This window comes from Homo sapiens, chromosome 16 (genome assembly GCF_000001405.40).
Source record: "Homo sapiens chromosome 16, GRCh38.p14 Primary Assembly".
NCBI classification, from domain to species: domain Eukaryota; kingdom Metazoa; phylum Chordata; class Mammalia; order Primates; family Hominidae; genus Homo; species Homo sapiens.
In genome coordinates, this window is record NC_000016.10 from 13765729 (window position 1) to 13790055 (window position 24327).

General features: G+C 41.5%; 1 long non-coding RNA gene across 1 annotated transcript; it reads right to left on the reverse strand.

Moving 5' to 3' along the window:
* Positions 1–1257: 1257 nt before the first annotated feature.
* Positions 1258–12116, reverse strand: LOC124903645 (uncharacterized). The gene is made up of 2 exons (XR_007064996.1): positions 11992–12116; positions 1258–1638 (listed from the first exon to the last, which is right to left on the reverse strand). It is a non-coding gene; the product is annotated as an uncharacterized LOC124903645 (long non-coding RNA).
* Between the last annotated feature and the right edge of the window lie 12211 nt (positions 12117–24327).

Sequence of the window (24327 nt, forward strand, 5' to 3'; positions counted from 1 at the left end):
AGATATTACATTTTCTTCATCCATTCATCAGTTAATGGACATTTGAATTATTTCCCATTTGAGCTAATGTGAATTTCACTGCTATGAAATTCATTAACAAGTTTTGTTTGAATGCCTGTTTTCAATTACTTTTGGTATATAACTAGGAGTGAAATTGCTGGGTTATATGATAATTCTATGTTTAACTTTTTGAAGAACTATCTTATATGGTCCTAGCAACCACCAGAGGAATAGAGTTTCTCCCTCCAGAAAGATCCAGCAAAGTACTTTTGAGTCTCATTAGCCTATCTTTGGTCACACGTCCATCCCTGAACCAATCATTGTGAACAGGAAGATGAAACACTCTTTGATGAAAATATGTCCACATCTACAGTGAAGAAAGCTCTCTACCCAAACCATATGAACTGAGGAAGTGGGATAGGTGGTCCATTCAAAGGAAGGTCAAAGAGGTGTTAGCAGAAGAGGAGAGAAGAGATAACTGGAAGACCAAAACAAGGGATGTTCACCTCACCAAGGAAGCGATAAATAACTGCTTTAGATCATCGTGTGAGAATGTGTGATGGGCACTTAATACATGTCAAGCACCATAATACTCTGCAGAGAGTATTAGTATCCCCATTGCACAGATGAGAAAAATGAAGCTCAGAGAATTTAAGTAACTTGTCCAAGTTCACACTCTTAGAAAGTGATTGAGCTGGGACATGAACCCATGTCTGTCCAATGCCAAAGCTCCTATCCATGCTGGTGCTTTGCTGAGTGGAAGGCACTGGGCATGAAATAATCTGGATGACTGCTTGGTGAAGGGTCAATGTCCTAAATTCTCCATGCTAGGTACCAAAGTTTCCATTTCTTTTTTTTTTTTTTTTTTGAGACAAGGTCTCGCTCTGTCACCCAGGCTAGAGTACAGTTGTGCAATCATAGCTCACTGCAGCTTTGACCTCCTGGGCTCAAGCGATCCTCTCACCTTAGCCTCCTGAGTAGCTGGGACCATAGGCATGCTCCACTACTCCCAGCTAATTTTTTAATTTTAAGTAAAGACAGGGTCTCGCGATGTTGCCCAGATTGGTCTCCAATTCCTAGGCACAAGTGATCCTCCCACCACAGCATCCCAAAGTGCTGAGATTACAGGCATGAGCCACCGTGCCTGGCCCAAAAATCTGCATGTATTCATTCACAGATACACACACATATTTCCTAGAGGCATGAATAGAATATACATAACCCTCTGTCTCCCATCACATGACACATAGAGCCAACGTAAAAGATATTCTTTTTTCTCTTTATTAAAATCATGACTAAATCCCTTACCAGTCAATGGATCTCCCAAAGTAGTCAGAACTCCAGAAGTCCACTTGGGCAGCTTCTCCCCTGCACAATGAAATCTGTTGTCTCTTCAAAGAGTGTGAAAATCAAACGTCATTTGCAAGGCTTCTCAGGTCCATCAGAAGTGGAACTTCAGTTGTTAAGCCACATTATTTCTCTTGAATATCATAACTTTTTTTCCTAAAGCATTTAATTTGATTCAACCCCAAGGGATTGTTTTTCAGAAATGCCAGGAATCTGCTGAGCTCTCTGTACTCTGGGCGAAATTTCAGTCCTGTTGTTAACGTGGTACCTTGTCTCCCTCCTCTGTCTGAGCTGGGAACAGGAAGAAACCTTACATCACCATAGTAATCTCATAATAAGATTGTACTTTTTTCTGCACATTACATCTCAAGGGATCATTGTCATTTGTTTCCCGCAAATGACAATCCAGCTTCTCCGGGCCCCCTAGTTGCTCGGTGAGAAATGTTACCGAACAGCTTGTCTCTGATGATGTTTTATAATTGTAGCAGAAATCCAACGTTAGTAGAGCTGTCTGACTGAAGAGGTGCATGAGCTCTTGTGTATCCACAACTCTACCCCAATGGCTCAAAAATATGCCTGATGTTTATTCATTCTGATATTTCGTATATGTACATAAAAATAAGTATCGATTTTGATGATGCATAAATGTGAGACTATCACAGTCTCCATGGAAAAAGCACATCCTGTTTATTCTCCAATAGACATTCTATAGCTCTATGCTGTCATAATTTTTAAGTACCCTTTCCTTTTTTTCTGAAATATCCCTCCCTTTGTCTCCACTTATCCAAATGCACCCTTCAGTTGCTTTCTGAGACCACTCCAGCTTACAATGATTTCACCCTCCAATGGCATTTGACTTTACCTTCCATTTGGCAATCACTCATGAGCTTTCTTGTGACACTGCCTGTGTTCTTCACAGAAGCTGTTTAAACTGTTCACATTTTTTGTCAAGGTCCTGACCCTAGCTTTAACTTTATCCTGACTTAGAGGAAAATGGACTCTTAGAGGAAAAAATCCAAATGATTAAGAGGGCTGAGAATTCTCCCTTCTTCCCCTCCACTCCCTTTATCCACCACTCATCCCCAACCACACTGTTGGATGTTATTTATCTCTGTGGAAGCCCCAAACAATGGCTTACATTAACTACAGAGTTCTTAAGGGTATTGAAAAATATTCCATGAATTATCAGGGGCTAAGCAAAGCAGGAAAGGGATGGTGGTCAATTAATGACAAAGATAGTGATAGAAGACATTAACCTGTTTCACGATCATAGCTTTACCTGACTTAGATAAACCATAAAAATAACTCCCTGTGTGACTGTCCATGGTTCCTGAAAGCTCTGCCGCCATAGACAATTTATCACCTGATTGCCTTGGCCTTTAACTCTCTAACTGCAACTACCATTGATTCTATTCGTGTGGTTTGACCCCTAATTTAGCCTGACTTCAACTAAAATGTCTTCTGAACAATCTGTTTCCCAGATCAGCAGTCTTGGGAAGCAACAGTGAATAAAAGTATGGAAGCTGGATCAGACTGCCTGGGTTGGAAGCCCAGCTTTACCATACGAAGAAAGCTACTTAATGCCATCTGTCATCTGGGAATAGTAGTACTATGTACTTCATGGGGTTGTTTAAGGAATTAAATGAGAAAGTCTATATAAAGAGCTTAGTGCAGTCCCCGACACATAGTTAAGTTCCCAATAAATTTAGCTTTTTATCATAATGATGGTATCTTGGATCCCTAACTACATGTAAGGTATTTAAAGAACGATACTGAATCTTATCCTTCATTACCCTCTGTATGCATATAGAATATAAGGATGGGTGAAAGCTTTGAAGTAATTCAGAATGGATCCAAATTTTGGCTTCACAGCATAGTAGCTGTGTGATATTAAGCAATTTACTTAACCCTCCTGAACCTCCCTTTCCTAATTTATAAAGTGGATTAAATTATATCCATTTGTTAGAGCTTTAAATATTCTAGAAGATACATGTAGACACCTGGATTAAAATAGGTGTGCAATAAATAGTGATCATTGTGTTTATGGCTATGAATTTGAAATGAATGCAAAAAGTTATTATTTCTGATCATCTATCACAATCTGTGAGAGTCAGGAGTGCATATTAAGGATGAGCAGTGCAGATTCGATGCTTCCTTTTGGGAGGTCCATTTCTCTGGAAGAGCTTGATGACATTGCTTTGTATGGTGGATCAATTGTTTAAGTCTGCTAGGGCCTTATTTATCAACTCAATTTCTTTACAGAGAAGAATAATTTCATACGGAGGAATTGTGATCATACCTCTGCACACATTAATATGGCTGTGTAACCTGGGTAACAGGTCAAAATGGGACTCAGTAATGACTATACATTATTCTGCATGGGAAAAAAATATTTCTAATTGTGAATCTGGTGCTATCATTCAATGTATTCAGTGTATTCAATGCCCAGAGTGTTGAATGTAAGTACTTGAGTCAGATTCCTGTTAACTGACATAGTTTTAGAGAAATGTGGAGACTGTCAAAAATGCATTTGTAGATTATATCTCTGGAAATCATTCCCATACTAATAAATCCCATCTGAGGCACCTCCACTAGCAGACAGTTCTTTGGAGGTTAAAGGAAGAATTGTCCATTACACTTCATAGTTCCAACTGTGTGTTAATTAGGACCAGACGGGAAATGGCAAAATAAATGAGGACAGCAAGACATGTCTTCTAGGTACACTATATGCCAAGTAAAAATCCTCTTAAAAATGCCTCCTTTAGCACGCAGTGTTATTTTCCCATCTAGGGCACACCACTCCATTTATCAAGCATGATCTAAAGGATAGACTTCAGATGTGTCTTCAAAGGAGGAAAGCCTCAGACAGAGTCCCTGCTAGTCACTCTGCTCCCATGAAAATAATTAATCTGTGGGAAACATGGCACCACTCTACGCTCTGCTCCTAGGATCCTTACCCAAGCATGAGTAGGACTTGCAAACCTAAGGTTCCAAATGCCTAAGATACAGAAAGTTAAAAGTGACCATATTGAAAAGTTGTTCCCCCGCAACCCAAATACCTTCTGCTGCTTCCACCACCCTGAGAGTATCTGTAAATGTCTCAGACATGTTCTCAGAAGAAAATGCTGGCCAGGTACAATGGCTCACGCCTATAGTCCCAGCACTTTGGGAAGCCAAGGCAGGCAGATCACTTGAGCCAGGAGTCCAAGACTAGCCTGAGTGACATGATGAAATCTCGTCTCTATAAAAAATTTAAAAATTAGCCAGGTCTAGTAGTGTACACCAGTTGCAGCTACTTGGGAGGCTGAAGTGAAGGGAGTGCTTGAACTTGGGAGGTGGAGGTTGCAGTGAGCTATGATCACACCGCTCCACTGTATCCTGGGCCACACAGTAAGATGAAGACGAAGTCGAAGGCGAAGACGGAGAAGGAGAAGGAGAGGGAGAGGGAGAGGGAGAGGGAGAGGAGGAAGAGGAAGAGGGAGAGGAAGAAGAAGAGGAAGAACAAGAGGAAGTGGAAGAGGAGGAAGAGGAAGAGGAGGAAGAAGAGGAAGGAGAGGAAGGAGAGGGAGGAGGAGGAGGAAAAGGAGAAGAAGAAGAAGAAGAAGGAGGAGGAGGAGGAAGAGGAGGAGGAAGAGGAGGAAGAGGACAAGAACAAGAGGAAGGACAAGGAGGAGGAGGAGGAAATATTGGGCATGCAATCAACCAATATGTCACCAAATACCAAAATTTATTTCTAAGTTCCATGGTGGTTTGAGGAGATGCAGGAATTAAAGAAAATACAAAGGATCACAGGAATATGGTTAAGAGCATTAACCTGCAGTTAGACAAATCTAGGTTTATATCCTATCACCACCACAACCTGTCCATGTTGAGTTACTTATTTCTCTATAGCTCAGGCTCTTCCTCTGTAAATTGGGGATGATAATAATAGCACCTATGTTATAGAGTTGTAATGGACATTCAACTATACAATCCATATCAGGCGCCTGGCTCAGAGCCAGTAGATGTTAAGTAGTCAATAAGTTGTTTATATAAGCATTTTTTCGGTACATAATATTCATGATCTCATTTCATATCACAACACTATGAAGTAGGTATTATCTTTGTCATCTATTTTGATGGCAAGAAAACTGAGGTAAAAAGAAAAGGATTTTTTGGGTTTAACAGCTAGGATGTGGCCACGATTCAAGCCTAGGTCAGTCTGACTCAGACAACTTTAACTAATTTAATCAACCTTTAATGCAAAAAGCTAAAGCTCTTGGTATTCCCTGACCCCAGTTACACAACCCTCACTGATGGATATATTTGGCCACACCAACAAGCCAAGGGGAACACTGCTCTGGCCTCCAAGTTGCAAAATGGAACAATTATTAAAAATGTTTAAATTATACCCTATACAACTATATCACCTTAGGGCACAAGTACAAAATTCAACCTATTTAACAGAAACACTTTCAGCTTCCTAAGATTGCAAATGTAAAATTTTCTCTGGAAACTTTGCAACCCCTTCATTGTACAGCTCTGAAAAGGGGGAAAAAGGGAGTTGCACTGACTGGGCATTTACTGTCAGGTGATGTGCCAAGTGCTTTATAAACCTTACCACTTCATCCATCAACTAATACTAAGGGATAAAGATGATAGTCGTGCACCGCAAAATGACATTTCCATCAACAACAGATTGCATAAATGACAGTGGTCCTATAAGATTACAAAACCACATTTTATTATTATTATTATTATACTTTAAGTTCTGGGATACATGTGCACAACGTGCAGGTTTGTTACATATGTATACATGTTCCATGTTGGTGTGCTGCACCCATTAACTCGTCATTTACATTAGGTATATCTCCTAATGCTATCCCTCCCCCCTCCCCCCACCCCACGACAGTTCCCCGGGGTGTGATGTTCCCTGCCCTGTGTCCAAGTGTTCTCATTGTTCAGTTCCCACCTATGAGTGAAAACATGCGGTGTTTGGTTTTCTGTCCTTGTGATAGCAAAACCACATTTTGACTGTACCTTTTCTATGTTTAGATACAAACATACTTACCATTGTGTTACAATTGCCTAGAATATTCAGTACAGTAACATGCTGTACACCTTTGTAGCCCAGGAGCCACAGGCTATGGCATACAGCCTAGGTGTGTAGAAGGCTACACCATCTAGGTTTGTGTAAGTGCACTCTAGGATGTTCCCACAACAAAATCACCTAGGGACACATTTCTTAGAATGTATCCCCATTCTTAGATGACACATGACTGTATTTGCCTGTTTCACTGGGAGTAAACTGGGAGGATCAGAGAGTTTAGGTAGCTTGCCAAAGGTCACTCAGAGGAAAATGGGCATTAAAATGCAGGTTTTTCTAAACCCAGTAGCACCTCAGGGCACCATTCATATAGGCTGTGATGAGATTTGTGCCGCTGGAGATGTCCCAAAAGCTTTTTTCAATATACCACGCTGGACTCTCCCGGAGCTCGCGTGACTTAAAAAAAATTAAATTAACAAATCAATGGCATTGGTGCCAGCATGGAGACTTGGGTGTGCATGAAGTCCCAGAAAAAGAAATTCCTTCTCAGAAACACTGTCTTTCCTACATGTCTCCTGCTCTCGTTAACAATTCTGGGTAAAGGAGAAGTTTCTTTCTTCTCTTACTAAGCAATCTACTCTTCTCTGTAACTCCTATGTCCTCACCCTTCCTGAGCCTTGATAGAGTGCAAAATTCTCTTCCCCTGTGATCTTTATGTCCTAAGGTTGAATTATTGAAAAAAGGTGTGCTGTGTGAAAAGTTATACTTAAGGCTTTGCCAATGCAAAGGGCCAACAGAGCCCACCTGGTAGGACGATACCTTTTGCTAGAGCTATGGAACTGTGGCAAAATTGCCATCAAACAAATTACACCATACCATAGAAAGATGTATCAGCACTTTTTGAATAAAACTACTTTCTTGTAGCTTAGTAACTTAGCTCTAAAAATTTGTTCTGGAATACAACCTGACTTGCAAATACTATTTTTAAAGTATACATCCTTTAAGAGCACTAATCTGTCTTTCCTACCATTTGCCAAACTAAAACACTTTCCATTTTTAATTAAAGCAATTTTACTTTTTATATAATGCGGAGCTGACCTCTCCTATATTGGAAATTTGCAAGAACACTTTTAGGAAAAAAAAATTAAACTATCAGTTATATAGAGTTCCATTTCCACCTGGGAAGTAGAAAGCTGGAAAAAGCTTTACTCTACTCCCAACCTAACAAAAAAAAGGCAGATAAACTTCAAAATCATAACTTTCAAAAGTCGAGGTCACAGAGAAACCTCAACTCCTGAACTCCAAAGAAACTTCAAAGAAAGGCTCCTCCAAGGAAAGACAGATTTAGGCACTGGATCACATGTGCAAAGCACAGGAGGAAGAGACATTGGGCACCATGTAAGTGGACAAGAAGAAGGTAGTTAAAACTTTTAACAAATTGCTAACAGCCAAGTATGGGCTAGCATGAGCAAAGTCAAGTATGGGCTAGCATAAGCAAGTATGGACTAGCATGAAATTATAGAAATGTTATGATTAACAGACACAAGGAGAGCTTGCACATATACACAGCCTCTTCTCCACAGACCTCCCACAGTGGGTGTTTGGGAGAAAGATCAGAAGCAGGGGAAGGTACTGGAGAGAGCATCCCTGGGTGGTGCAGTCCTAGAGCATTACTGGAGTCAATGCAAGAACTCCCACCCAGAACCTTCTCCCCAACAGAACAAAAACCTTAAGACTATTAGAGTAGGGCAGCAAATTCAGGCCATGGGTGAAGATCCACTGAAGCTGGGGAAAGGAAAAACAAAAAATACCCTCTACTCCTGGGTGAGGGGCATGAAACAGTTACATAACAATAAAGGGGGCCAGGCGCCGTGGCTCACGCCTGTAATTGCAGCACTTTGGGAGGTGGGCAGATCACGAGATCAGGAGTTCAAGACCAGCCTGACTAACATGGTGAAACCTCGTCTCTACTAAAACTACAAAAATTAGCTGGGCGTGGTGGCATGTGCCGGTATTCCCAGCTACTCAGGAGGCTGAGGCAGGAGAATCGTTTCAACCCAGGAGGCAGAGGTTGCAGTGAACCGAGATCACGCCACTGCACTCCAGCCTGGGGTGACAGAGCGAGACCCCACCTCAAAAAAATAAATAAATAAAGGGATCAATTTACCAACACAACAATCCTAAATGTGTATGTACATAATAAAAGAATTTTAAGATTTAAAGGAAAAGCTGAGAGAAGTGAAAGGAGAAATAAGCAAATCCACAAATACAAGTGGAGACAAAACCACTCCTCTCTCAATAATTGATAGGGCAAATAGGAGGAAAATAAGTAAGGATATAGAAGACTTAAATACTACCAACCAACTTGACCTAGTTGACATTTACAAGACACTCCACTTGACAACAGAATACATACACATTTTATTCTCAAGTGCACACAGAACATTTCCCAAGATAGACCATATTCTGCATTCAAATATACAAAGACTTTTCCAGAAAATAGGAAAGTAGCAAAGACTTTTCAGCTCACTCTTTTTTTTTTTTTTCCTGAGACAGAGTCTCACTCTGTCACCCAGGCTGGAGTACAGTGGCATGATCTCAGCTCACTGCAACCTCCGCCTCCCAGGTTCAAGCAATTCTCATGCCTCAGCCTCCCAGTAGCTGGGATTACAGGTGCGTGCCACCACTCCCAACTAATTTTTGTATTTTTAGTAGAGATGGGGTTTTGCCATGTTGTCCAGGCTGGTTTCAAACTCCTGGCCTCAAGTGATTTGCCTGCTTCAGCCTCCCAAAGTGCTGCAATTACAGGCGTGAGCCACCACGCCTGGCCTTCAGCCCATTCTTTAGGACTGCATTATCCTAATACCAAACCAGACAAAGAAATGAAAGAAATGCAAAAGGAAGCAAGCAAACAAGGAAGCAAGCAAGACAGACAGACAGAAAGAAGGAAAGAGAGAAAGAAGAAAGAAAGAAAGAAAGAGAGAGAAAGAAAGAAAGAAAGAGAGAAAGAAAGAGAGAGAGAGAGAGAGAAAGAAAGAAAGAAAGAAAGAAAGAAAGAAAGAAAGAAAGAAAGAGTCCAAAATCGGTTGTCCAATAGAGCTTTCTGCTATAATGAAAATTTCTACACTATCCAATATGATAGCCATTAGCTACATTTTAAGCAGTCCTTAAAATGTGGCTGATGTGACTGATAAAATGAGTTCGTAATTTTATATCATAATTTAATCCATTTAAATTTAAGTTGACATAGTACATGTGGCTAAGGGTTACCATATTGTGTGGTACAGCTATTGACCAATGCACCTAACGAGCATAGATACAAATACACTAAAAAATATGAGCAAATGCTATCTGGCAATATATAAGAAGAATAAAGCATCATGACTAAATCAGGTTTATCCTAAGAATGCCAAGTTGGTTCAACACTTAAATTCAATCAACGTATTTTCCCGTATCAGCAGACTAGAGGGAAAACCATATGATCCCATCAAGAGATTCAGAAAAAAAAACTATCCAAAAAATTCACTATCTATTCACAATAAGATCTCATAGCAACCTAGGAATTAAATGTAATTTCTTCAACCTGTTAAAGGACATCTGCAAAAACTGCACGTAATATGCTTAATGGTGAAGTCTGAACACTCTCCCCCTAAGATCAGGAACAAGGCAAGGATATCCACTCTCATCAGGCTTAGTTAACATTGTGCTAGAGGTCCTAGCTAAAGCAATACAACAAGAAAAAGAAATAAAATGTATACAGATCCTCCCACAGGATAAATAATGTCCAAATGACTCTCCTTCAGAACCTCTTCCTTAAAATGACATTAACCTTTGAATCAAAACTTCAGACAGTGGCCACTGAGTGAAATAAATGTAAAAAAATTTTTTTAATTAAAAAATTTTAGAAACTTCAAACTAAATCTTCTGGCTCAAGTTCTACAAATCAAATAGAATCTTACTCTCTTCTTTGCCCCCAAATGATTGTTTTTAACATCTCCCTTGCCTTCTGCTTAGAGACCTGAGCTACCATATATCTTCATTTCTTATGCAAAAAAAGTACTTCAGGGTGATTTTCTATTATTAATTTTTTTTACTCATACATACTAGATGTACATATTTTGGGGGTACACGTGATAATTTAATACACTCATATTGTTTGTAAAAATCAAATCAGTGTAATTAGGATATCCATCACCCTAAATATTTGTCTTTTATGCTAGAAATGTTCAAATTATTCTCTTTCAGCTGTTTTAAAAGTACACAATAGATTATTATAAACTATAGTCATGCTACTGATCTAACAAATACTAAGTCTTATTTCTTCTATCAAACTATATATTCATACCCAACTTGGTTTTCTTGTTTGTTGATTTGTTTATTTCTACAGGCCCCAAGTTCAGACTAGAATATAATATGGAAAGGGTTATGGTTCTTAGGTTTTACGTGCAAACACAAATGATTCATTCAAGGAATGCTTCCAAGAGAAACCAATAAAAGGGGAAGCAAGACAAAGAAGGAGAGAAAGCCAAACAGGGGCGCAGTTCCAGGCAGAATCCCATAAAGGAAAGTTCAAGCCCCTGGAGCTTAAGGCAATTCTGAAGTTTAGTTGTACCTCTGAGTTGTCCCAAGCCAGGGCAAGGGAGATGAGTCTTCAAACTTGCAGCCTATGGTTTATGGCTACTCTCACAAAGCCTATACATTCCCAGGCACTTCCTTTGTTAGACTTCAATAACCCAAGACAGTCTTCCAAAAAAAGAGCTCCAGATGTGAGCTCTTGAAAGTAAAAACAAACCAAAAGCCAGTGGTCACACAAAAAATGGAATCCACGTACACCTGGGCAGAGCATCAACTTCATTCATCTCATACCCATTTACTGAGCATCTACTTGGAACCAAATCTCCTGCTAGGCTCTTTACAAACATCGTCTCATTTAGTCTTCATGACAACACTGACAGATCTATATTGGTTTTTTGTATTCTTATTTAATCCTGACAGCAACACCCTATGAAGTAGTTCTTACTAGTTCCATTTTAAAGATTGTAACATTGAGGTTCTGAGAGGTTAAGTAACTTTTTCAAGATCACATAACTAATAAGTGGCAGGGGTGGGCTTTAAACTGGGGTCTATCTGGCCTCTGCCAAGTTTGATCCTGCTTTTTCCTTTTATGTGTCATGTCTCTCTTCCTCTTCTCTCACACATTACTCCCATTAAGTACTGAAGTCCCTCCTGCTTCCCAAGCCTATGCCTGTAATTCCATAAGCAGTTTCTCCTATTTAGACTGTTTTCACTGTTCACACTCTGGACCCCTATCTAAACTTACCTTCTCATGTCCCAGGAATCTGTCAATTCCCTACGCTCTGCTGGATGTCTGGTTGGAAAGGACTTTATTGATAAAATTCCAGCCAGGAATTAATAATTGGAGATGGAAGGATAGAATTTGTCTTAACTCAGATGAGTGGATTTCTATCTATTCTCAAAAATCCAAATGGGAAACTCATTAAGAATTGGAATCTGATTTGACCATATGCAATAAGCAAGGGATTTGAAGAGAGTGGTCTTTGAAAAGAGTTTTTATAGAACATCCAAGAATTTTCTCCATAACTGTAGCATTCCCTTACCCAATTCCTCAAAGAGTTTTCTCTCACTCTCTTGGCTCCCTAGACACAGCCAGAAGAAAGGTCTCCAATTTCTCCAGTGGAGTGGCCCAGCACTTTCTCCTCATCTCCTCGCTGGATGACAAACCCTAAACAATGAACAAAGCATATTAAATTAGCAAGCAGTTTTCTTCATGCCTTAAGTGTGAGCAGTAGAGAAACTTCTTCCACCAGACATGGCCCCAGGCATATGGAACTAAGCCAAACAGAGAGTGGAAAGCCTGCCTGACATACTGTGTTGGGGACAGGAGTGGCCAGGTAGAGGGAAGAAACACAACTACCTCTAAGAGCTTGCCTGGACAGTGGCTTAAAAATGGCAGTAAAAAGAAAATAGCATTTTTGTGAGGTGGAAAAAGCTGAGATAAAATAATCAGAGAATATCTCCACAAATAAAAATAGCTAGCAATCATTGAGCACCTACTGTGTGCCACGTGCTTTTTATTATTTGTATTAGATATAGTCTTTTATTTATATGTCATCTTAATCTTCACATATCCCTATAAAATAAGTATGCTGTAATTCTGATGTTACAGATAAGGAAAGCAAGGCTCAGACAGACTGAGTACTTTGCCCAAGGTCACACAGTGTATAGAAATTATGAGGGCCGGGTACTGTGGTTCACACCTGTAATCCCAGCACTTTGGGAGACTGAGGTGGGCGGATCACAAGGTCAGGAGATCGAGACCATCCTGGCTAACATGGTGAAACCCCGTCTCTACTAAAAATACAAAAAAATAAAAAATAAAAGAAATAATTAGCTGGGCGTGGTGGCAGGCGCCTGTAGCCCCAGCTACTTGTGAGGCTGAGGCAGGAGAATGGCGTGAACCTGGGAAGCAGAGCTTGCAGTGAGCCGGGATCACACCACTGCACTCCAGCCTGGGCGACAGAGCGAGACTCCATCTCAAAAATAAAAAAAAAAGAAAGAAATTATAGTCATTAGTTGAAACTGACCCTGTCAGGCTCTAAAGCCACACTCTTTATTACAATGAATAATAGCACAGTGGTAATGTACCCAGCCTCTGAGGTCAAACTGTCTTCAAACCTCAGCTATGCCACTTATTGGCTGTGCAACTCTATTAGTTTATTAGGGCTTCTGCAACCAAGTACTGTAAACTGGGTGACTTTAAACAACAGAAATTTCTTACCACACAGTTCTGGAAGCCAGAAGTCCAAAATCAATGTGCGATGGCAGGGTTGGTTCCTTCTGAGAGCTACGAGACAGAATCTGTTCCATGCATCTTGCCTGGTTTCTGGTGGTTTGCTGGCCACCTTTGGCATTCCTTGGCTTAATGAAGCATCTCTGCCTTCACCTTCACATAGAGTTCTCCCCGCATGCATCTCTGTGACCAAATTTCAATTTCCATTGTATTTTATTTATTTTTATTTTTTGAGATAGAGCCTCTGTCTGTCACCCAGGCTGGAGGTTGCAGTGGCATGATCTCGACTCACTGCAATCTCCGCCTCCTGAGTTCGAGCGATTCTCCTGCCTCAACCCCCCGAGTAGCTGGGACTACAGGAGTGTGCCACCATGCCCAGCTAATTTTTGTATTTTCAGTAGATACGGGGTTTCACTATGGTGGCCAGGCTAGTCTCGAACTCCTGACCTGAGGTGATCCGCCCGCCTCAGCCTCCCACTGGGCCTGGCCAAATTTTCATCTTTTTTAATAAGGACACAAGTCGTACTGAATTAGGGCCAACCCTAATGACCTCATCATAACTAGTTATAGCTGCAATTGATATAGGGGTTAAGAAAAAATTATTTAGACAGATAGTGAGGGCATAGGAGTCCTCAGTAAGGTTTTCGTTTTAATGAAAAGCAGCCCCCAAATCACTTTCTTTTCTAACAAAAAGCAGCCTTTAAAATCGAGCTGCAGACATAGACAAGCAAGCTAGAAGCTTGCACGGGTGAATGCTGGAAGTTCTGCCAATAAGAAAAGGCTACCTGGGACTAGGCATGTTCAAAATGACAGCTTCATGCTCCCTTCTCTTTGCCAGCCACGTGGATAGTAAGGAGCAGACAACATGGCGCCGCCCAAGTGGAAAGTCCATTTGCATAATAAGATTACGGTGGGGTGGCCAGCCTTCCCCAAGCGCTATGTAAATTTCACACCTGATCCAACCAATCTGTGGGCCCTACGTAAATCAGACACCACTTCCTCAAGCGTGTCTATAAAATCCAGTGAACACCACAGCGGTTTTCTCTTTCCAGCACCCCTCTCTCGCGCGAGAGAGAGAGCTGTTCTCCTTTCCGTTTCTTTTGCCTATTAACCTTCCACTCCTAAACTCACTCCTTGTGTGTGTGTCTGTATGTTTAATTTTGGCGTGAGACGACTAACCTTGGGTATTACCCCAGACAGTGATGCTGCTTCACAATGATCCTGTTTCCAAATCGAGCCTCATTTGAAGGTATTGGAAGTCAGGATTTCAACATACGAATTCATTGCAGGGTTTTGGAGGAAAGGGGCACATAATTCAATCTATAGTAGTGAGCAATTACTTTTTCTCCCTATGTCTCATCGTATTCATCTGTCAAGTAGGATTGTAATAGGATTGTGAGGGTTAAAGGAATTAACATGCATAAAGCGCCTAGAACACGGGCTCAACAAACTTACCACCCAAGGGCCAAATACAACCTGCCACCTCTTTTTGTACAGCAAGCAAGTGCTTTTATAAGTGGTTTCTATATTTTTAAAGGGTTAAGGAAAAAATAAAAAGAATAATATTTCATGACACATGAAAAACGAGATTTAAATTTCAATGTCCATAAAGTCTTATTAGCACTCAGCCACGCCCACTCATTTACATACTGCCTGCAGCTGCTTTTACACTACAATGGCAGAGTTGAGGAGCTGCAGCCTCTACAGAGACTGCATGAGCCACAGATCCTAAATTATCTACTGTCTGACTCTTTATGGAAAATGTTTGCCCACCATTGACCTAGGAGGTTACCCAGCCTGTAGTAAGCACTGTCTTAATATTGCTTATGACTCTATTTTTCCCTTTTCTTTTACCATAAGAGGAATTACCTGCCTCTGCATTTCCTTCTGTAGCAAAGATAATTTTCAACTCCTATAATGGGGGACAGAGGATGTTCCTATCCAGAGCCAGTCCCCATGTGTCCTGGGGGGGGGGTCCCCAGCCCTCCCAAACTCCTCCCCTGAATTGGCTGGTTTCCCCCACCACGCTCAACAGCTGTTCCCCTAGCTGTATCAAGTCCAGGCCAGTGAGCTTGCTTCTCTCCGGCTTGTCTCAGCAATTTTGTTTTCCCCCACTGCACAAGTTCCTAACAGCTCCAACGAGTCCAAAGGTGAGCACTTCCAAACCTTTAATTATTTACATCTGAGAAATTGAAATTCTAAGGGCTTTTTCTCCCTGTCAGTCACGTCAGCAGTTGGCGTCCCAAGCACAACAATCCTCCCTCCTGTCGGAAGCTTCTGCCTCCTTCCTACAAATTGTAACAAATTTGCATTTTTTGTTCCATTTTTCACTGGCCAAAAAAAGACGTGAAGCGCCATGTTAGTTGGATGGTTCATCTGGGCTACTCAGGAGGAAGGGGGCAGAGGAAGGTAGCGTGGACAAGACAGCAGTGTGCGGGGGTGTTTGCAGAGAGGGAAAAAGAATATTTCCATGCGGAGTCAGCAAAACTGGCAAACATGGAGAAAAAAAATTCACAGTTCAGATGGGGAGAAGAAACACTTGTTCTTGCAATGATTTGAAGCGTGGAGAGTTTAATTACCAAAGAGACCACAATTGTTTGGCTCCACATGTTCATGGCTGTGTATTGGATGGTATGTGGTGTCCTCTCAATGATTTTTTTTCTTTCAGAATTATAGGATCTAGGAATAAAACCAAGTTATAGTCAGATTAAAGTCCTTAACTCTTAATGAAAGGTTTTTATTCAGCCATATGCATTCAGCCTCAGAATTTCTCATCCAGACCTCCCAGTTGCCATTGAGGAGGAATGAGAGCTTCTAAAAATAAGTCAGCTACGTGCAGAGTCCCTCTGAGGTCAGACCATTGTCCCCAAGGAGGACACAGCTGTTGTTATTGCTGTTTTTATGCCAATGTGGCTCGAGTCACACTAGGATGGGGATGCCTCTGTGATGGGAACACGGAGGAAGAAAACTCTCCCCAAAAAGAACCCCAGCATGGTTCCCAAACGACCCCATGTTCTAGAAAAGTCTCTTCCTATGCAAATCTTTCTTTCCCCTAGTCTTGATCACCCTTCAGTTTTTCTCACTTCACTCAGTGGCAACCCCAGATTCAATTAACTGAAACCAAAAATCTTGGCGTTGTCTTTGATACCTCCCTTTCTCCTACACCCCACATCCAATCTGCTGACAGATCCTGCTAGTTCTATCCAGGACTGGTTACATAACTGGTGTAGCCAAGCTCAAAATAAAAATGCAGAGCCACCGTCCACAGGTCACATGCCCATAAAGTCAGCCCTGGTTCTACCTACAAAAACACATCTGAAATCTGACCACTTGTAACCTTCTCCACTGCCAACAACCTGGTCTGAGCTCCCACCTGGGAACCTTCAGAGTCTCGTAACCAGACTCCCGGCTTCTATGTTGAGGCCTTCTGTCTATTTGCAGCACAGCAGCCAGAGTAATTCACATGACATCTCTCTTCTGCTCAAAACCCGCTGCTGTCTCTTCATGTCACCCGGAGTAAAAGCCAAAGTCCTCACAATGGCCCGGAAGCCTGTTCCCATCCCCAGGACCTCTCTACCCTCACTTTTGACTCTCCCCCTTGCACACTTTTTTTTCAATCACAACAGGATCCTTGACTGTCCTCAAACCAGCCGGGCATGCTCCTTTCTTCTGTCATTTCACCTTGTTCCTTCTGCCTGGAAGCTCATACGACACCTGAGCTCACTATATATGTATGCTCTCCCTCACATTCTTTTATTCATTCAACAAATATTTATTGAAGTGTTATTCATTCAACAAATATTTATTGAGCACCAATGGTGTGCCAGACACTATTATCCTTTGCACAGATGGTTGAATCCAGCATCTCTCTGATCACTGATGAGGTACAGCATCATTTCCTAGATGTGTTGGCCATTTTATAGCTAATTTTTCTGTAAATTGTAAATTTTTCTGCAAATCACCCTATGTAACACTTACATAGTACTTCCTCTGTGCCAGACACCACTCTAACAACTTCATAAAGAGGCACTGTTGTTATCCCAATTTTACAAATGGGAAACCTGGTTAAGCTACTTACCTGAGATCATACACCTGTTTTTCTACTGGGTAGTTAATTTTTATCATACTGATTTGTAGGAACTCTTTATATATAACAGCTATTATCCATTTGATTGTTATGATGAATTCTACTGGCTGCATAATAGGGGAAAGACCATGTTGCCTCCAACTATCCTTGTACCATGTTTTTCATCCACCAAGCTGTACATGCTAACCAGTGAGAACATTTCATTTGCTAACCAGTGAGAACATTTCATTTTACCTTGTGTATTAGTTATCTATTGCTGTGTAACAAATTATCTCCCCCCCGCCAAAACAAAAAAGCAGTTCAAAATCACAAATATTTATTTTGTTACACATATTTCAAAGGACAGGGATGTAAGAATAGCTTAGCTGGATGGTTCTATCAAGCACTGTCAAATGGTTCTGGTGGTTTGCAGTCAAGCTCTCAGCCAGAGTTGCAGCCATCTCAAGATTCAACTGGGGTAGAACTTCATGTGTTTTCTGGCAGACCTCAGTTTTTCTTTGGCTTTTGACGAGAGGCCTCATTTCCTCCACCACGGGCCTCTCCACACAGCTTCTCACAATATTGCAGCCAGCTTGCCCTCAAGGGAGAGGAGGAGTGAGAGAGTGGAAGCCTCAGCCTTTTATAACCTATCATCAGAAGTGACATTCCATCATTTCTTCCACTTGCTATTGGTCACACAGACCAACCCTCGTACAACGTGGGAGGAGGTCATCTTTGAGTGTGAATACCAGGAGGCCAGGGTCACTGGTTCCATCTTTGAGAACGGCTACCAAATGTTGGGTCCATTATTATTCTTTAGTACTCACTTGTTTTGGAAACACACACGTGCTGAGTGACGCTTTTGAAAAGGAGAAACTCAGAGTCCTATACCTCAGAGATGGATTCCCAAAACTAAGGGGCTGCTGTGACAAAACACCATAGACTGAGTGGCTTATAAAAAACGGAAATTTATTTCTCACAGTTCTGGAGCCTGGAAGTCCAAGATCAGGATGCCACCATGATGAAGTTCCAGCGAAGACCCTCTTCTCCAGGTTCCAAATGGCAGACTTCTCATTATATTTCCACATGGCAGGGAGCAGAGGAAAAAGAAGCAAACTCATTTTTCGTTTTTGGTTTTTTTTTAACTTGCTATGTTGCCCAGGCTGGTCTTAAAACCTTGATCTCAAGCAATCCTCTCATACTTTAGCCTCCCAGAATGCTGGGATGACAGGCATGAGCCACCATGCCCAGACTCTCTCATGTCTTTTTATAAGGGCACTAATCTCATTCAGAGGGCTCCATCCTCATGACCTAATTACCTCCCAAAGGCCTTGCTTCCTAATGCCATCCTACTGGGAGTTAAACACATAATCAGTCCATAGCAAGATTTATACCTTCCACTATCCCCTAAGCCCAAGACTCCTACTGCAACCAACGAAAGCCCTCTGCTTATTTTAAGCAGGAAGAAGGGTTATTTAAAGGATGTTGGATACTTTACAGAATCTACAGAAGGGCTGGAAGATTACAGATTTGAAGGCTACACAACCAGGCACAAGGTGGAAAATTCATCCTTGGAGTAAATCCAGTGAAGACATCATAGCTTGCACGCCCGACACTACCAACAGTGGACACCCATGTTGCTACTACAATCTAGAGCTGCAACTAGCTTGAGGAAGTGACTGCTTCTGTTTGTCAGAATTGACTTTGCATGGTTCTCCTTCTTCGCAAGGTTTTGATTGAAAGACTTGACCAGGGCCATTTGACTGGCAGCACCCTTTGATGAGTCATTTAATGGGCCTGTGCCCTAGCTGCAAAGGATGCTGAGAAAGCAGTTGTCCATCCTTTTCAGCTTATATGCAAGGAGGCAGACCATCCTTATATTCTATGCTTCGTCATTTGGAAGATTCCTTCAAACATAAAAACTTCAGATGCCGAGCGGACAACAATAACAAAAAAAAAAACTGGAAATAAATATCTACTACACCTACAAAATTTGGTCAGAGAACAGAGAACATTTATCTAACTTGGAAAAGATCTTAAACACAGAACATCTAGGAAGTTCAATGCCCACACTTTACTAATGAGGAAATTGGGGCCCTGAAAAGTGAAAGGAATTGCCTAATGTAACATAGGAAGTAAATGACAAGAGGCAAGACTTTTCCTCTTGGATCCAGACTCCAGGAGGAGGGAGTTCTTAATCTCTATCATGGTATAGATCTCTGTTTAATAATTTGGTGAAGACTGTGGATTCTTTCTCAGTATAACATTTAAAAAAAAAATTAAAAGAATACATTAGAAACAAATTAGAAAGAATACAAAGGAAACAAATTACATTGAAATGTAATTATAGAAATATTAAAACAAAGTTGTGATACAGCAATATATGCAATACATATTTTTCTTTATTAATATATTAAGAACAAAATCTAGTAGCAGATCTAACAACCACTATAATTTCAAAGAAATGATATTCATTAAGGATATTTGAAGATTCCATAACAATTGTAATGAGATATTAAAATAACTATGACTTCCAATGATGACAAAGTCACAAGAATTGTAGATTCCACCATGGTTTTATTGCCTACATTCATAATAGAAAAAAATGCTAAAAGTCAGAGGTCAGTGGAAAAAGTTTTTTTCTATCCAAGTTGACTAATTCTTTATATCTTATCTTCAGAACTGCAGGAACTGGGGGTGGTCATTCCGGGATAAGAACTGCCCGGCCTGTTGATTATAGGATGGAAAAGCAGGGCACACAAATAGGCCAATAAAATCAGTTGAAATTGATCATGAATGGAGGGTTTGCAAAGTATTCCTTTCTTATGGGTATTGTGGGAGGCGAGGGTGTGCACGTGGGATACATACATGTCATGCATGTGTGTATGTGTATTTTCCTATTACAAGAGAGTCCTATATTTACAGACATGGAAAGACAGCAGGGTAAACTATTAATATTAAATGAAAAACACATTACAGAACGTGTAACAACAATAGATAATATTTACTGAGCACTTGCTAGAGCACTTACAGATGTCACCTCACTGAATCCTCTAACCAACACTTTGACATAGCTTTTTTTCTTTTATTTATTTATTTATTTATTTATTTATTTATTTATTGAGATGGAGTTTTGCTCTGTCACCCAGGCTGGAGTGCAGTGGCTCAATCTCAGCTCACTGCAAACTCCTTCCGGGTTCAAGCGATTCTGCTGCCTCAGCCTCCCGAGTAGCTGGGACTGCAGGCACCTGCCACCACACTCGGCTTATTTTTGCATTTTTAATAGAGATAGGGTCTCACCACGTTGGCCAGGCTGGTCTCGAACTCCTGGCCTCAGGTGATCCTCCTGCCTTGGCCTCCCAAAGTGCTGGAATTACAGGCGTGAGCCACCATGCCCAGCCATCATAGCTATTTTTTATTATCTCATTTTGTAGGTGAGTAAACCAAAATGTGGAGAGAGAAAGTAAGTTGCCCAAAATTGCAGAGCTGCTAAGTGAGGGAGCAGCCATTCAGGGCCAGACTATCTGACTCTAGGGCTTGAGCTCATGTCTGTTCTGCTTATCCACTTGTTATAATTAAATGCTTAACATTCTGCATGTATGTGTGTACATGTGGATACCTACATGCATTTTTAAAAGCTGGCACATTACATATGCCAAACCACTAACTGTGTTTACCTCTGGTGAGAGTGACTGGGGAAAGGGCAGAGATGGGATAAACCATTTCCTTTTTAAAAACTCAAAGACGCTTAAGTGTTTTTAAATAAGTGAGCAAGAGCCCCATGTATCAACCTGAGTGAAACTCACAAGTAAGGTTGAGGAAAAAATATATGCCCAGTATAATATGGTGCCTTAATATGTAAGACAAAATTACCTATGAGGTAGGGTCACAAACATAGATAGTAAAAATATAATGATATGCATGGACTCAATAAATATCAAACTTGGGGGAGGTAAAATGGGTGAGGAAAAGAAACAGATGAGGCGTCAATCATATTGATTATGTTTTACTTCTTTTTCTTTTCTTTTCTTTTCTTTTTTTTTGAGACAGAGTCTGGCTCTGTCGCCCAGGCTGGAGTACAATGGCGCGATCTTGGCTCACTGCAAGCTCCACCTCCCGAGTTCACGCCATTCTCCTGCCTCAGCCTCCCAAGTAGCTGGGACTACAGGTGCCTGCCACCACGCCTGGCTGATTTTTTGCATTTTTAGTAGAGACGGGGTTTCACCATGTTAGCCAGGATGGTCTCGATATCCTGAGCTCGTGATCCGCCCACCTCGGCCTCCCAAAGTGCTGGGATTACAGGCGTGAGCCACCGCGCCCGGCCAATTATGTTTTACTTCTTAAGCAACCTGGTGGGCAGTAGCCGCCTCTTATATTATCATGTACACTATTATTTTTTATTTGTTTCATAATAAATTTAACAGAGAGAGAAATTACTAATGAGAAATACCCACACACGGTCAATCCTTCGTTTTAGCTTTGATATTGTTTGAATTCTCACTTGGGAAATGTATAAAAGAAAAAGGGGGATGTAACAGGGCGGGTTAGTGGTTACCTTCGGGAAGGAGGGAAGGAGTAGTTACTGGGAGTCCACACGGGGGCTTCTGGAGACCAACAATGTTCTGTTTCATGAGCTGGAGTGACAGTTTCACACGTGTTTGCTTTGTGATATTTGATTGATCTGTATGTATAGGATTACGTTCACTTTTCTGAATATATGTTATATATCAAAATGTTAAAATGTAGAGAATCTTACCTTATGAATATACAAAAAAAGAGGAAGACATCTAAGGCACTTACAAAAGAACTTTAACCCCCTAGTTTTCAGCTGGTTCTATGCCATCCGAGACTCAAGGCCACTCAGCAGGTTACACTCCCCTCCATAGGCTGCAGGCACGAGGCAAAGCTGTAGTGCTCATTCAAGACCTTTCAAAACAGATCTCTGGGCACACCCCAGCCTCCAGCATCTTCAGTGGGGTGGCTTTTGTCAAAAGGCTGTCTACATCACACAAGTCCAGAAAAATACTGTCATGTGGCCAGGCTCTTAAGTGGGGAAGCCTGGGACACTGAGAAAGAAAACATGAGATTCCAAATGCCAGTTGAGACGCCATCCATTATTTGTTGTGTTGGTAAGTTTTTGTTTTGTTTTGTTTTGTGACGGAGTTTCCCTCTTTCACCCAGGCTGGAATGCAGTGGCACGATCTCAGCTCACTGCAGCCTCTGCCTACCGGGGTCAAGCAATTCTCCTACCTCAGCCTCCTGAGTAGCTGAGATTACAGGTGCACGCCACCATGCCCGGCTAATTTTTGTATTTTTAGTAGAGACGGGGTTTCACCATGCTGGCCAGGCTGGTTCAAACTCCTGACCTCATGATCTGCCCACCTCGGCCTCCCAAAGTGCTGGGATTATAGGCGTGAGCCACCGCACCCGGCCCTGTTGCTAAGTTTTTTAAGGAGCCACGGCAAGATTGTTTTCTGGCTTCTTTAGTGATAAATCCACCAGTCTCTTCTCAGGAATGGAGAGGACTTCCAAAGATCAAAACAATGCTCTTACAAGTAGAAAAGAGAGAGGTAACTGAAATGCAGAGGGAAGAACCATGATCTGGAAATCAGATCTGTTGCATCAGCTAGCTCATGCTGCATAACAAACCACTCCAAAATTCAATAGCTTGAAACAACAAGCATTTATTATTTATTAGTCAGCTAGGTGGATGAAGCTCAACTGGTCTTGGCTGGGCTTGCTCAAGTGTCACCCATAAGTTTGGCTGGATTTGGCTTTGACCTAACTCATGTGTGTCTTGACTGACTGGCTGTGAGCTGACAGCTAGGGGTGACTAGGCAGTGTGTTGCTCATCATCCAGCATGGTAGCCCAGTCTTGTTAGTATAATGCTTAGGTGGGTTTCCAAGACAGAAAGGAAGTGTGCAAGGCATCTTGAGCTGTTGACTTAGAACTATCACATCATCATTTCTGCCAAACTCTATTGGCCAAAGCAAGTCACCAGGCAAGCTCAGATTGAAGAACTGGGAAAAGAGACCCTACTTCTTGGTGGAAGCCACTGCAAAGCCACATTGCAAGATAATTGGGTACAGGGCGGGGGGGTGAAGATTTGGTGACATTTTTACAGTTAGTCCACCCTACTTGGTTCTAGTCCAGACTTTGCTTATAACTCACAATACAGTTTGTGGAAAGGTACCTCTCCTTTCTGAATCTCAGTTTCCATATCTGTAAAATTAGAGGCTTGAACTAGATCAAGGGCTGACAAACTATGACCTGCTGCCTGTTTTACTCAATAAAGTTTTATTGAAACACAGCCATGCCTATTTGTTTCTGCCTTGTCTTTGGCTGCTTTTGTGCTAGAACAGCAGAAGTGAGTAGTTGCAATAGAGACCCTGTGACCTGCAAAACTAAAAATATTTACTATATCGCCCTTTACAGACAAAGTTTCTGACCTGGGAAGTAAATGAGCTTTCAATTTCATTTGATTCTAATATTGTCTGTTTCCAAGCCTCCTCCACAGAGCTTAGTAATCATAATAGCACTACCACTTGTTGCACACCTACTGAGTGCAGTAGGCACTGTGCTAAGAAAGGCACTATGAGACGGGCATGGTGGCTCATGCCTGTAATCCCAGCACTTTGAGAGGCTGAGGCGAGTGGATCACCTGAGGTCAGGAGTTTGAGACCAGCCTGGCCAACATAGCAAAACCCCGCTTCTACTAAAAATACAAAAAAAAAAAAAATAGCCAGGCATGGTGGTGCACTCCTGTAGTCCCAACTACTCAGGAGGCTGAGGAAGGAGAGTTGCTTAAACCCAGAGATGGAGGTTGCAATGGGCCAAATTGTGCCACTGCACTCCAGCCTGGACAACAGAGAAGACGCCATCTCAAAAGAAAAAAAAAAGAGAAAAGCACTATTGCAGGGTGGTCTTGAGAGTGGATCCTGGATCCAGGATGCCTGGTTTGAATACCAGCTCCATCACTACTGTGAGTTTTGACAAGTTGTACCTCATTTCCTCATCTGTGAAATGGGAATAATGTCACAACCTCATAGGGTTGTCATAAAAATTCTTGAGTTAAT